The sequence below is a fragment of the Homo sapiens genome, chromosome 9 (genome assembly GCF_000001405.40).
Source record: "Homo sapiens chromosome 9, GRCh38.p14 Primary Assembly".
Lineage (NCBI taxonomy): Eukaryota > Metazoa > Chordata > Mammalia > Primates > Hominidae > Homo > Homo sapiens.
Window position 1 is genome coordinate 68576417 of NC_000009.12, and position 14049 is coordinate 68590465.

Sequence of the window (14049 nt, forward strand, 5' to 3'; positions counted from 1 at the left end):
TCCAGCCTGGGTGACAAAGCAAGACTCTGTCTCAAAAAAAAAAAAAAAAAAAAATCAGATAGTTATTTAAAAAGTTGCAAATGTTTGGTGTCATGTGAGATGCCTATTGAGGGATGTGCGGGTGGCATCCCTGCCTGAGATCCTCTTCTTTAAGAGCCATGCATATGTACTGGGATCATTTAAAGGAGAAAATCTTCTATTTTTTAAGAGTGTCAGAAGTGAAGATTTCACACCTGCCAACAGAAGGTGCCGTCAAAAAAAGACAGTGGAGATGGAGCTGCTCCTAATGGAAGACTGTCAGACAATGAAACTCACCTCCCATTTCCCGTAGACCTCTGTCTTTGCTAGACAATGGAGGTTGCCAGTTGGTCAATCAAGTAAGCAACCCCTTGCTACTAAGTCAACCAGTCAGTGTTCTATTCCTGCAGGCAAGAGACATCCTGGGTAAAATGCCCATAGCTAGTAACTCATAGGCATTCAATATCTGATTATTTAATTAATACTGCTTTTAGAAATTTAAAAATAATAACTGCGAATGCCAACAGCTTTCGGGCTCTGCAGCAAACCAGTGGAGGCATTTGGGACTTTCTTTTTCAACTGTTCTCATTGGGGCTGAGACTATCATCAAGAAGTACCAAATAAACATATTTTCAAAAATCGATGTTATTTTTAGATTCTTTGGATCCTTGTTTTTGGCATTAGCAGCAGGAAGAAACCTTGTGTTTTGAAACGTTTCTTTTCTAATTGTGCTGTTACACACACAGTTGGACAAAATGTCTGGTTTCCTTTGAGAGAGAACCATCAGCATAAACAAAGATGGTAAAACAGCTTCTTTCTTTTTTGTCATTATTCCTGTTCACTGAAGAGAAAGGATGGTCTACCTCAGAGGTTACACACTGGTGGCCTGTGGTTAGCATTTAGACTGGAGATGTATTTTGTTTGACCAGCACACTGTTAAAGCAAGCAAACAAACAAACAAATGCAATTTAAAAAAGGCAAACAAACCCTGATGTTGAATGCCTTTACAGGAGGTCTGATAGTCATCAGGCTTTTGCAATTTCTGTTTCTTGTATGACTCTTGTAGGTATTTTATTATGCAGCCCTGGGTCTGCGGAGAACAATGTATGCACAGCCAATTGTTTTTCTCTCATAAAGAAGAATACTGATTGAGTGGTGGTAGAGGGTGGTTAAGGGAGTCAGCAGAAACCTGCAGGTAATCTACCTAAAATCGTGACTCCTCCCCCACCGAGTTTCCACCTGCAACTATATTCTTTCTGTAGAAGACTTTGGCTAGACAGGGGTTGGAGTCCACTTTACAGGACAGGCTACTCCCAGGGAGGAGGAGCTGTCACAGGATGGGTCTGTTGTAAGGACATTAATTAGACCATGGTGCTAGGGGATGATGGACGGGGAGGAGCGAAGCTCTGAGCCCACTCCAAGGAAGTTTCTCTTTGGGTCCTTTGATCCTTTGGTTGGTGCAATGAGGTGAGTCTGCACAGGGCCTCTAAAGGGCTCGTTGCTGCAGGCTTCACCAAGCAGGCTTTGTTGGCAACAGGAAATATTCCCCAAGGTCAGAGGCGGTGACTTCATCCACATTTAGAAATCAGAAGGTGAGAATTGACTCAAATGCTTGCGGCTTTCCTACTCAGTTCAATATTTTGGAATATGTACAAAATTTCTTTCTAGAAAGTTCCTCAAACTTTTAGCACACAGAATGGCTCTAATTCGCTACTAATCCATCCTTTTTACCACAGATGTTTACACTCATTTTCTTAGGACCAGAGATTCCATCACATGTTTTTAATCCCCTGCCCCTGACCCCATAACACTCTCCCCAAACGCAGAGCAAGGCAAACCATAGGGCCTAATAAGTGGTTAATGGGTTGAGTTCATTTTCAGTTCCTTTTATTTCACACTTATAGGTTGGGCTATAAAAAGGTCAAACTTCCCTTGGTGATAGCATATTACTACTAGTGGTTGAAGCTCAGAAATAATAATAGTCTGGATTAACTGTACATTTTCAAACCATAGAAACCAGCTCAAGTTTGTGGTCAGGGCTTCTATTTATGCTTCCTTTAAAGAGTGTGACAAGGGTTAGATGAGTTCTGGTCTTAATCCTTTTAATTCAATGTGCACCTGTCCACTGCAAGGACACATGAAGCATACAGACCTTCTGGATTCAAATATGGCAGAAAGGAAATGGCCCGGGCTCCCTTCTGGAACATCACACACTGCAGCATCTCAGCCTTCCAGAGTGCCTTTATTCCATTCTCAACCCTGGGCCCATAGTTGAGAATCAGAATGTACTACTTTTTGTTTCCTTGTTTGTTTTTAAGACTTCAAAACACACAAGATTTTCATAACAATGTCTGTATACCAGGATATTATTTTAGGGTATAATTTCTGTAATAATGTTTGCCAATAGTTGATTGTCTAGACTGGATAAATGGAGTGATATGCGATCATCCCTTGTATTCACATATATTTCTACTACATTACCATCTATGTTGAAGGTCCTTTAACAGAGACATAAGAAAGAAAAGTATTGACTGGGCACGGTGGCTCATACCTGTAATCCCAGCAATTTGGGAGGCCGAGGCAGGTGGATTACCTGAGGTCAGGAGTTTGAGACCAGCCTGACCAACATGGTGAAACTCCATCTCTACTAAAAATACAAAAAAAAAAAATAGCGAAGCGTGGTGGTGGGTGCCTGTAATCCCAGCTACTAGGGAGGCTAACGCAGGAGAATCGCTTGAATCCAGGAGGTGGAGGTTGCGGTGAGCTGAGATTGCACCACTGTACTCTAGCCTGGGCGACAGAGTGAGACTCTATCTCAAAAAAAAAAAAGGATTATTTGAACATTATCACTTCATGTAGGCAAACTTACAAAATTTCTACCAAATAGTCCTACATATTTGAATTAAACACTCTGAATGAAGGTGATTCTGTTTTTAATGTTTACTCCTTCCCCTGGGCCAGTAGGTGATGAGTATCTCTCTGTTCATGAGTGACTGGGGACAGAGCTATCACGTTATTCTGAGTTTTTGAATTTTCATTTATATGTCCATGCCTTCTCTTCGTCATCATGCAGGAGATTTACTGACATAAAAATTATTTTGTAGACTCTTTATTACTGCTGCCGATGTGCCTGCTCCTCACAGAGATATCTAACATTGATCTCTTCTTCCTGCCTCTTCCATGATCACCTTCTCAAGCTGCCTGAGGACCTCCAGGGTCCTAGTTCCTCTTTGGTCACCTCCTTATTAGTGAGGCCTGGGGTTCTCTCGTCCACTTGCATGCTAGGTTCATGACCTTACTGATGACATTTTTCTCTCTCTCATATTACACTTGTAATGCACTGGGTATTCCATTTCTTTAGAAGTTCTGACTCTGGCAACAGACTCAGTCCTGCTGTCTCAGGCATGAGAGGGTCTATTGCCCTAACCCCAGTGTGATGGTTAGTTTTATGTGTCAACTTGACTAGGCTAAGGGATGCCCAGATAGCTGGTAAACATTATTTCTGGGTTTGTCTGTCATGGTGTTGTTTCTGGAAGAGATTAGCATTTGAATCATAAACTGAGTAGAGAAGACCTACCCTCATCAATGTGGGCAATACCATCTAATCTATCCAGGGCCCAAACAGAACAAAAAGGTGAGAGAAGGGAAAATTCACACTCTTGAAATGTGAAGGTATGATTTACTGAGGAAATGCTTCCTGGAGACAGGGACATTCATCTCCTGCCCTTGGACATCAGAGCTCCAGGTTCTTAAGCCTTCAGCCTCAGAGACTTCTATGAGCAGCCCCTCAGCTTCTCAGGTCTTTGGACTCAGGCCGAATTATACCGCTGGCTGTCCTGGGTCTCTCATTTGCAGATGGCATATCATGGACTTCTCAGCTTTCATAATCACATGAGCCACTTTCCATAACGAATATTTTCTTGCATCTCTTTATTTTGTAATTTTTTATTTTTTGAGACAGGATCCCACTCTGTCACCCAGGCTGGAGTGCAGTGGCACAATCTCAGCTCACAGCAACCTCTGCCTCCCAGGCTCAAGCGATTGTCCCATCTCAGCCTCTCAAGTAGCTGGGACCACAGTCATGCACCACCATCTGTGGCTAATTTTTTGTAAAGATAGGGTTTCTCCATGTTGCTCAGGATGGTTTTGAACTCCTGGTCTCAAGTGATCTGCCCACCTTGGCCTCCCAAAGTGCTGGGATTACAAGCATGAGCCACCACACCCGGCCCATATCTCTTTATATATATCCCGTTGGTTTTGTTTCTCTGGAGAATTCTGACTGATACACCCAGCGGCCTAAATAAGGAAAAATTAGCTTTCTAGGTGAGCAATGTTTCTTTACCAAAATGTAGTCAATAGAACATTGGGCAATTGGGATGTAAATACACATAATATAAAACAAAAAAGTAATGCCCTATGTGTTAAAATTAGATTTTTGGGGCCAGCCATGGTAGCTGCCTGTAATCCTAGCACTTTAGGAGGCCAAGGCAGGCGGATTATTTGAGGTCAGGAGTTTGATACTAGCCTGGCCAATATGGCAAAATCCTGTCTGTACTAAAAAATACAAAAATTAGCCGGGCATAGTGGCATGCACCTGAAATTCCAGCTACTCAGGAGGCTGAGGCATGAGAATCACTTGAGCCCAGGAGGTGGAGGTTGTGGTGAGCTGAGATCACACCACTGCACTCCAGCCTGGGTGACAGAGCAAGACTCTGTATCAGGAAAAAAAAAAAAAAAATCAGATTTTTCTATATAAAGGAAGTTTTGGGGGTCTTCATTCATGAATTCACTTTTTGATGAGAGCTTTGGGAGACACCATTGAAACCTTCCCAGATCCCACTCCCCCTTGGTTCTCTGTGCCCACACCCCAGCTTCTGTGGGCTCTGAAGCTAACTACTTGCAGCTTTGCCCTCTTTCAGAGATTTGACTGTGGCTACTGAAGCTACTTTGTCCATTTAGAGAGTTGAAGTGCCTGGGAGTTTATGACCCACCCTAGGGTCCCTGGTCTCTGCCACCAATGATGGACGGATGTTGTGGGAGGGGACATTCAAAATGCCAGCTAAGGCCGGGTACAGTGGCTCATGCCTGTATTCCCAGCATTTTGGGAGGTCAAGGCAGGTAAATCACATGAGGTCAGGAGTTCGAGACCAGCCTGGCCAACACGGTGAAACCCCGTCTCTACAAAAATACAAAAATTAGTTGGACATGATGGCGGGTGCCTATAATCCCAGCTACCCAGGAGGCTGAGGTGGGACAATTGCTTGAACCCGGGAGGTGGAGGTTGCAGTGAGCCGAGATCAGGCCACTGCACTCCAGCCTGGACAACAGAGCGAGACTGCATGTCAAAAAACAAATAAACAACAACAACAAAAAAAACCAGCTATGCCTCAGTGTGCCCCATGGGATCAGGCTGAGACTGGGACTTTCTCCTGGCATTGCTCAATTGCTTGGCTTCTTCCTCTACTCCACCCTGCCTCCCCACTCCCTTAGCAGTTTCTCCAGGAAGCACTTCCTTAATAAATCATATGCACCCACATTTTTGGTTAAGTGTCTGCTCCTAAGAAAACCCCATCTAAGACAAGCACCTTCTATGCACCAGGCACTGTGATTGTGTTCCAGTAGAAGAGGCCACTATGAACAAATTAACCAATATGATTAATGTATTTTAAAATGCTACTGGGCATCACGTTTCTCTAATGAAACATATGGTGTGTCAGCCAGGAGATGGCATACTCACTTTGGGTAATTCGAGAATAGTTTTGTAAAAATATTGTTTATAAAGGTATGGGCAGGATATAGGGAAATCACAAAGAGGAGTGCAACGCCCCAGCACTAGCACCAGCAGGGTACCAGAAACCCCTCCAGAGAGAAGTCAGCCTGACTGAAGTTACAGCCTTTGATCAAGAGATGGAACCAGAACAAGGTGACCTGGCAGGGGGTCCAGGGAGAAGAAGGGCAGAGTATGGGTCTGCGCTGGTTAACAAGCTTTTCAGCACATATGGTGTGTAATTGCCAAAAGTTACCTGAATATAGAAAATAATTTTTATAGACCACCTACTGACAACTCATGGAACACTGGTGTTTTGTAGGATTCCATTTAACACTACAGGAGAGCCCTGTCTGAAGATGATTTCCTTAAGGAACAAAACATCTCAATCTGAGAACTTTTTCTGTTACAAATATCCCCCATCCCACTGTCTCTGCCCAAGTAACAGCCTATTTCCATGCAACAAAGCCAGCACCACATTAAAATAGGACCACTCTTGATCTCCCTTGTGTATGGACTCTCAAAAAGTCAAACTCACAGAAGCGTAGAGTAGAATGGTGGTTGCCAGAGGTCAAGAATAGTTGAGAGGGGTACAAAGTTTCAGTTAGACTGGAGGAATAGGTTATGGAGATCTATTATACAGCATGGTGACTATAATTAATAACAATGCATTGCATACTTGAAAATGGCTAAGAGAATAGATTTTAAATATTCTCACCACAAAAAAATAGCTATGTGGGGGTGATGAATATGTTAAACCACTTATTTAATTATACCACAATATATACATACATTAAGACATCATGTTGTATACTGTAAAGGTATGCAATTTTTATTTGCCAAAAGTAAATAAATAGCTTATTAGGAAAAAAAACATGACCATTCTATCTAACTCCCACTGCCCTGTCCTGGATCACCCGCCGCGATCTCCAGGTGCCGCATTACCACTTCTCACCTTGACATTTGCACCCTTGGTTACAGACATACACAACCTTGACTCTGGTTGAGATTCTCCTCCACTTATGCTGTCCTGGGCAATATCCGCTTAGCATTCTGTTTATCCACACCTGCAGAACTTTTTTTCTGAAACCTCAGTCCTATGTAGCACACGGCCCTCCCCACCACCAGGGGACAGCGCTTCCAGCCCAGGGAGCAGAAACCAGGCCAAGGAGGCAAAGATGAAATCAGGCAGGGGACGGTGGCTCACGCCTGTAATCCCAGCACTTTGGGAGGCCTAGGCGGGCGGATCACATGAGGCCAGGAGTTTGAGACCAACCTGGCCAACATAGGAAACCTTGTCTCTACTAAAAATACAAAAATTAGCTGGGCGTGGTGGTGCACGCCTGTAATCCCAGCTACCCCGGAGGCACAGGCAGGAGAATCGTTTGAGCCCAGGAGGCGGAGGTGGTAGTGAGCCAAGATCGCACCACCGCACTCCAGCCTGGGCAACAAGAGTGAGACTCCGTCTCAAAAAAAAAGAAAAGAAAGGAAAGAAAGGAAAGAAAGAAAGAAGGAAAGAAAGAAAGAAAGAAAGAAAGAAAGAAAGAAAGAAAGAAAGAAAGAAAGAAAGAAAGAAAGAAGGAAGGAAGAAGGAAGAAAGAAAGAAAGAAAGAAAGAAAGAAAGAAAGAAAGAAAGAAAGAAAGAAAGAAAGAAAGAAAGAAAGAAACCAGGGCTGCCTCCAAAGCTCCCCGCTCACAGGATCAGCTGCCCGTCCTAGAGAAATTTCTTTTTAACACTTTCATTCTTTTAACTCTTTCCCACTCACTGGATAAGGATTACATAGGCACTAAAAGGCATGCGTGTATTTAGAAAAGACATTTCGTATTTTGCAAAGGGGAGAGCATTTCCAGTATTGACGGGGGTCTGTTTATTCTGTTGATAAATTAGAATTATAGCAAGCTTTGTTACCTCACTTCTGATCCCACAGCAGGTTAGAAGGAAGGAAGAGGTCAGGAGTGGTGTTAGAGACTGGCAGCAAGACAATGAGGGAAAAGGTGAAAATGGAAACAGAAATGAAAACCCAGAAAGCATTGCAGGCTGCAGGGAGTTCGCATGCAGGCTTCATAGTGGAAAAAAAAGTAGAACTGTGATCAGATCTCAGCAGCTTCTGAGCATTTACAGCTGTTTTTCATGGGGCCGGAGCCAATTTTTTAAAAGGAAAAATCTGAATCTCTGAGAAAATGGTTAATGTCGGTCATTGTACTCCAAGCAGGCAGCAAAGAATGCAATGCATTTTTAAAAGACATACAGCCCTAAAAGAATGAATGAGAATTGACTCGATTCTGCTTTTAGGGAATCTTTGAGGGAGAGGAGGTAATTCGTCTTTAGCATCTTTCACGCAGGCCCCGCTGGTCTTTGCCGGTCTACAAAGACCTCCTCCTGCCCTCCACAAGAGGGCGCCAGAATTCCTAGGACAGGACCCGGTCTGTGGTCAAGAGACCCGATGAAACTCGACATGACCACTAGAGGGGGGCAGTGAGGTCCTTAAACTGCATTCTGAGATTCCAATTTGTATTTGTTTATGTCATTTTAAAGATGCTTTCATCTAAGAGACATGCTTTGTCCTGTGTGCATGATGCCAGTGAAAAATGTGCTCTTCAAACCATGGGAGCACACTTCAGTTCAGCATTTCCATCGCATCAGGGCTGGTCTGACGTAAGCAGGTGACTTTGGCGGGAGGTGGGGGGATTGGGGGGCAGGGAGGGGGTGCCAGGTACTCTTTACCCAGCAGAAAAGGCATTTTGTTCTGCTCAGTCTATCCACAACAGTTTGCAGGAAACATTAAACCTATTAAAGTGTGCCTTGTTTCAAGAATGCATGTAGGTCACGAACAACTGCTAAAGATCGATCCTTGCCACTTCTTTTTGAGGGAATTGGAGTTAATACAGAATATCCAAAGATAACAGGAGGAATCAAGTCGGGGTTGATGTGCCCCCACCCCCCACCCCCAAGCAAATGAATCATCTCTCTTCCGAAGGAACCGTTCCATCCAATAGCACCACCTAAAGACCCTTTTGGAAGACTGCGGTATGCTCCACTGGAGTGCTCTGAAAATAGCCCTGTAGTGATTAACGTAAGGACAAGAATGATTCTGCTGGGATTTGTTTTTCAAGCACCCTGTTTTTGTGGCCAAGAACACATTCCTTGAATGGATACACTTCAGGTTGTTATATAGACAGTAGTGGGGGATTGGAGAAGGTTTAAGATGTACTTCAACATGGAATAATAAGCGATCATTTTTCAGGGGTCCCCAACCCTCGGGCTGCAGACCGGTATGGGTCCGTGGCCTTTTAGGAACAGAGCTACACACAGGAGATGAGTGGTGGGCGAGCGAGCGAAGCTTCATCTGTATTTACAGCCGCTCCCCATTGCTGGCATTGCCACCTGAGCTCCACCTCCTGTTATATCAGTAGTGATGTTAGATTCTCATAGAAGTGCAAACCCCATTGTGAACTGCGCATGCAAGGGATCTCGGTTGCGTGCTCTTTATGAGAATCTAACTAATGCCTGATGATCTGTCACTGTCTCCCGTCACCCACCCCCCCACCCCCGCCCCACCGCCGATGACACGGTCTAGTTGCAGGAAAACAAGCTCAGGGCTCCCACGAATTCTAAATTATGGTGAGTCGTATAATTATTTCATTATATTTTACAATGTAATAATAAGAGAAACAAAGTGTGCAATAAATGTAATGCACTTGAATCATTCCAAAACCATCCCCCACATCATCCCTGGAGAAATTGTCTTCTATGAAACCAGTCCCTGGTGCCAAAAATGTTGGGGACCACTCCTTTAAATGATGCTGAGGAGTACATTGACATAGATGGACAGTCGCAATATGTTGCTAAGTTTAAAAAAATAGGTTCTAAAACAGCATGACCCCATTTGTGTAATATATGTGTGTATACATACATTTTTAAAAGTCTGACAGATATATCCTAAAATGATTATTCCTGGATGGTACAATTATAAGTAATATTAAATATTTCTCATTTTTCCCTCCATTTGGTTTATCTGTATTTTCACATTTTATCTACCCAACCATGTATTACATGTGTAATTTTTTTTTAAGTTTGCCAACACATGCACTTTATATCTTTTTTTGGTATTAAAAAAGACCCAGTCTTGGAACTTTTTTACACTATTATCATACACTAAAAGAATTTTTACCATTCCACGTTAATAAGATAAACACAAATTCCTTCAATATATTATTCTCCCATTTTATATATGTATATACAGACTTATTAAATAAGCATTTATTAGCACTTTAAAGAGTTATTTTTAAGGAAGAGATAGAGTGATTCATCTTTTTGATTGCTCGCTTTCATCTAAGCCAAAATGATACATCTATAGAAACATTATGGGTGAGAATCAGAGTACACTCCTTTTGTTACTACATATATATAGTGTATATATAGTAACAAAACATATACTATATGTATGTATGTATACTATACTATGTACTATACATATACTGTATATTTACATATGTTTCTTAACCTTACTTTTACTAATAAAATTTCTTAAAGGGAAACCTTTGAAAGAATCATACTTGACTTCAATCATAACCTAAAGATGTTCTTTCAGGAAATTCTGGGATGATGTATGGGTTGTCGTGAAAATGATTCTGAAGCCAATTTTAGCAGCACTGAATCTCTTGTTTTTCTGTAATCAGTAAGAGGAATGCAGCGATTCTTGAGCTTCTCAGCCTGTTCTTTGTCTCACCTGTGACACTAAAATAGTCCATTTTTCTAAGTGCTCCAGCCTTCCCAAACTCAATTATTAACAGATTAAATTTCTATGAATGTTTAAAAACAGTTGAGGTAGATAAGAGTTGTGATTCTCTGCCATTTTCCAAATAATAAATGTATATTCACTGCTGCGTTAGTAAGAAACTATTCTGTATTCATAGGCCCTTCAAACTTTTAAGGAAATTTAGATTTATCTAAAGCTTAGGGTGTATAGTCAGAAAACTTTTTTTTTAATACTTTAAGTTCTGGGATACATGTGCAGAACGTGCAGGTTTGTTACATAGGTATATACATGTCATGGTGGTTTTCTGGACACATCAACCTGTCATCTACATTAGGTATTTCTCCTAATGCTATCCCTCCCCTAGCCCCCCACCGCCTGACAGGCCCCAGTGTGTGATGTTCCCTTCCCTGTGGGAAGGATGTGGCCATGTGTTCTGATTGTTCAGCTCCCATTTATGAGTGAGAACATGCAGTGTTTGGTTTTCTGTTCCTATGTTAGTTTCCTGAGAATGATGGTTTCCAGCTTCATCCATGTCCCTGCAAAGGACATGAACTCATCCTTTTTTATGGCTGCATAGTATTCCATGGTATATATGTGCCACATTTTCTTTATCCAGTCTATCATGAATGGGCATTTGGGTCGGTTTCAAGTCTTTGTTATTGTGAATAGTGCTGCAATAAACATACGTGTGCATGTGTCTTTATAATAGAATGATTCATACTCCTTTGGGTATGTACCCAGTAATGGGATTGCTGGGTCAAATGGTATTTCCAGTTCTAGATCCTTGAAGAATAGCCTCACTGTCTTCCACAATGGTTGAACTAATTTACACTCCCACCAACAGTGTAAAAGCATTCCTATTTCTCCACATCCTCTCCAGCATCTGTTGTTTCCTGACTTTTTAGTGATCACCATTATAACTGGTGTGAGATGGTATCTCATTGTGGTTTTGACTTGCATTTCTCTAATGACCAGTGATGATGAGCTTTTTTTCATATATTTGTTGGCCATATAAATGTCTTCTTTTGAGAAGTGTCTGTTCATATCCTTTGCCCACTTTTTGATGGGGTTGTTTGTTTGTTTTCTTGTAAATTTGTTTAAATTCTTTGTAGATTCTGGATATTAGCCCTTTGTCAGATGGATAGATTACAAAAATTTTCTTCCATTCTGTAGGTTGCCTGTTCACTCTGATGATAGATTTTTTTTTTTTTCTGTGCAAAAGCTCTTTAGTTTAATTAGATCCCATTTGTCAATTTTGGCTTTTGTTGCTATTGCTTTTGGTGTTTTAGTCATGAAGTCTTTGCTTATGCCTATGTCCTGAATGGTATTGCCTAGGTTTTCTTCTAGGGTTTTCATGGTTTTAGGTCTTACATTTAAGTCTTTAATCCATCTTGAGTTAATTTTTGTATGAGGTGTAAGGAAGTGGTCCAGTTTCAGTTTTCTGCATATGGGTAGCCAGTTTTCCCAACACCATGTATTGAATATGGAATCCTTTCCCCATTGCTTATTTTTGTCAGGTCTGTCAAAGATCAGATAGTTGTAGATGTGTGGCATTATTTCTGAGGCCTCTGTTCTGTTCCATTTGTCTATATCTCTGTTTTAGTACCAGTACCATGCTGTTTTGGTTACTGTAGCCTTGTAGTATAGTTTGAAGTCAGGCAGCATGATACCTCCAGCTTTGTTCTTTTTGCTTAGAATTGTCTTGGCTATACGGGCTCTTTTTTGGTTCCATTTGAAATTTAAAGTAGTTTTTTCAAATTCTGTGAAGAAAGTCAATGGTAGCTTGATGGGGTTAGCATTGAATCTATAAATTACTTTGGGCAGTATGGCCATTTTCACTATATTGACGCTTCTTATCCATGAGCATGGAATGTTTTTCCATCTGTTTGTGTCCTCTCTTGTTTGCCTGAGCAGTGGTTTGTAGTTCTCCTTGAAGAGGTCCTTCACATCCCTAGTAAGTTGTATTCCTAGGTATTTTATTCTCTTTGTAGCAATTGTGAATGGGAGTTCACTCGTGATTTGGCTCTCTGTCTATTATTGGTGTATAGGAATGCTTGTAATTTTTGCACATAGATTTTGTATCCTGAGACTTTGCTGAAGTTGCTTATCAGCTTAAGGAGATTTTGGGCTGAGACAATGAGTTTTTCTAAATATACAGTCATGTCATCTGCAAACAGAGACAACTTGACTTCCTCTCTTTCTATCTGAATACCTTTATCTCTTTCTCTTGCCTGATTGCCTTGGCCAGAACTTTCAATACTATGTTGAATAGGAGTGAGAAAGGACAACCTTTTCTTGTGCCAGTTTTCAAAGGGAATGCTTCCAGCTTTTGCCCATTCAGTATGATATTGGCTGTGGGTTTGTCATAAATAGCTCTTATTATTTTGAGATACATTCCATCAATACCTAGTTTATTGAGAGTTTTTAACATGAAGGGGTGTTGAATTTTATCGAAGGCCTTTTCTGCATCTATTGAGATATTCATGTGGTTTTTGTCATTGGTTCTGTTTATGTGATGGATTACACTTATTGATTTGAGTATGTGGAACCAGCCTTGTATCCCAGGGATGAAGCTGACTTCATCATGGTAGATAAGCTTTTTGATGTGCTGCTGGATTCGGTTTGCCAGTATTTTATTGAAGATTTTCATATCGATGTTCATCAGGGAAATTGGCCTGAAATTTTCTTTGTATGTTGTGTCTTTGCCAGGTTTTGGTATCAGGATGACGTTGGCCTCATAAAATGAGTTATGGAGGATTCCCTCTTTTTCTATTGTTTAGAATAGTTTCAGAAGGAATGGTACCATTTCCTCTTTGTACCTCTGATAGAATTCGGCTGTGAATCCAGCTGGTCCTGGGGTTTTATTGGTTGGTAGGCTATTAATTACAGCCTCAATTTCAGAACTTGTTATTGATTTATTCAGGGATTTGACTTCTTCCTGGTTTAGTCTTACGAAGGTGTATGTGTCTAGGAATTTATCCATTTCTTCTAGATTTTCTAGTTTATTTGCACAGAGGTGTTTATAGTATTCTCTGATGGTAGTTTGTATTTCTGTGGGAACAGTGGTGATATCCCCTTTATCATTTTTTATTGTGTCTATTTGATTCTTCTCTCTTTTCTTCTTCATTAGTCTGGCTAGTAGTCTATTTTGTTAATCTTTGCAAAAAATCAGCTCCTGGATTCATTAATTTTTTGCAGGGTTTTTCATGTCTCTATCTCCTTCAGTTCTGCTCTGATCTTAGTTATTTCTTGCCTTTTGCTAGCTTTGGAATTTGTTTGCTCTTGCTTCTCTAGTTCTTTTAATTGTGATATTAGGGTGTCAATTTTATATCTTTCCTGCTTTCTCCAGTGGGCACTTAGTGCTATAAATTTCCCTCTAAACACTGCTTTAGCTGTGTCCCAGAGATTCTGGTATGTTGTGTCTTTGTTCTTATTGGTTTCAAAGAACTTATTTATTTCTGCCTTCATTTCGCTATTTACCCAGTAGTCATTCAGGAGCAGGTT

General features: G+C 41.2%; 1 long non-coding RNA gene across 1 annotated transcript in view, besides 1 other annotated feature; it reads left to right on the forward strand.

Moving 5' to 3' along the window:
* The window catches only part of TMEM252-DT (TMEM252 divergent transcript), a 103426-nt gene that overhangs the window by 35392 nt on the left and 53985 nt on the right, over positions 1-14049 (forward strand). The window lies entirely within an intron of this gene.
* Positions 8238-8327: an enhancer, noted in NCBI's record as "active region_28437". NCBI's record gives its function as "activates an Ori minimal core promoter by ATAC-STARR-seq in GM12878 lymphoblastoid cells {active_cell/tissue: GM12878}" and the evidence as "EXISTENCE:reporter gene assay evidence [ECO:0000049][PMID:35858748]".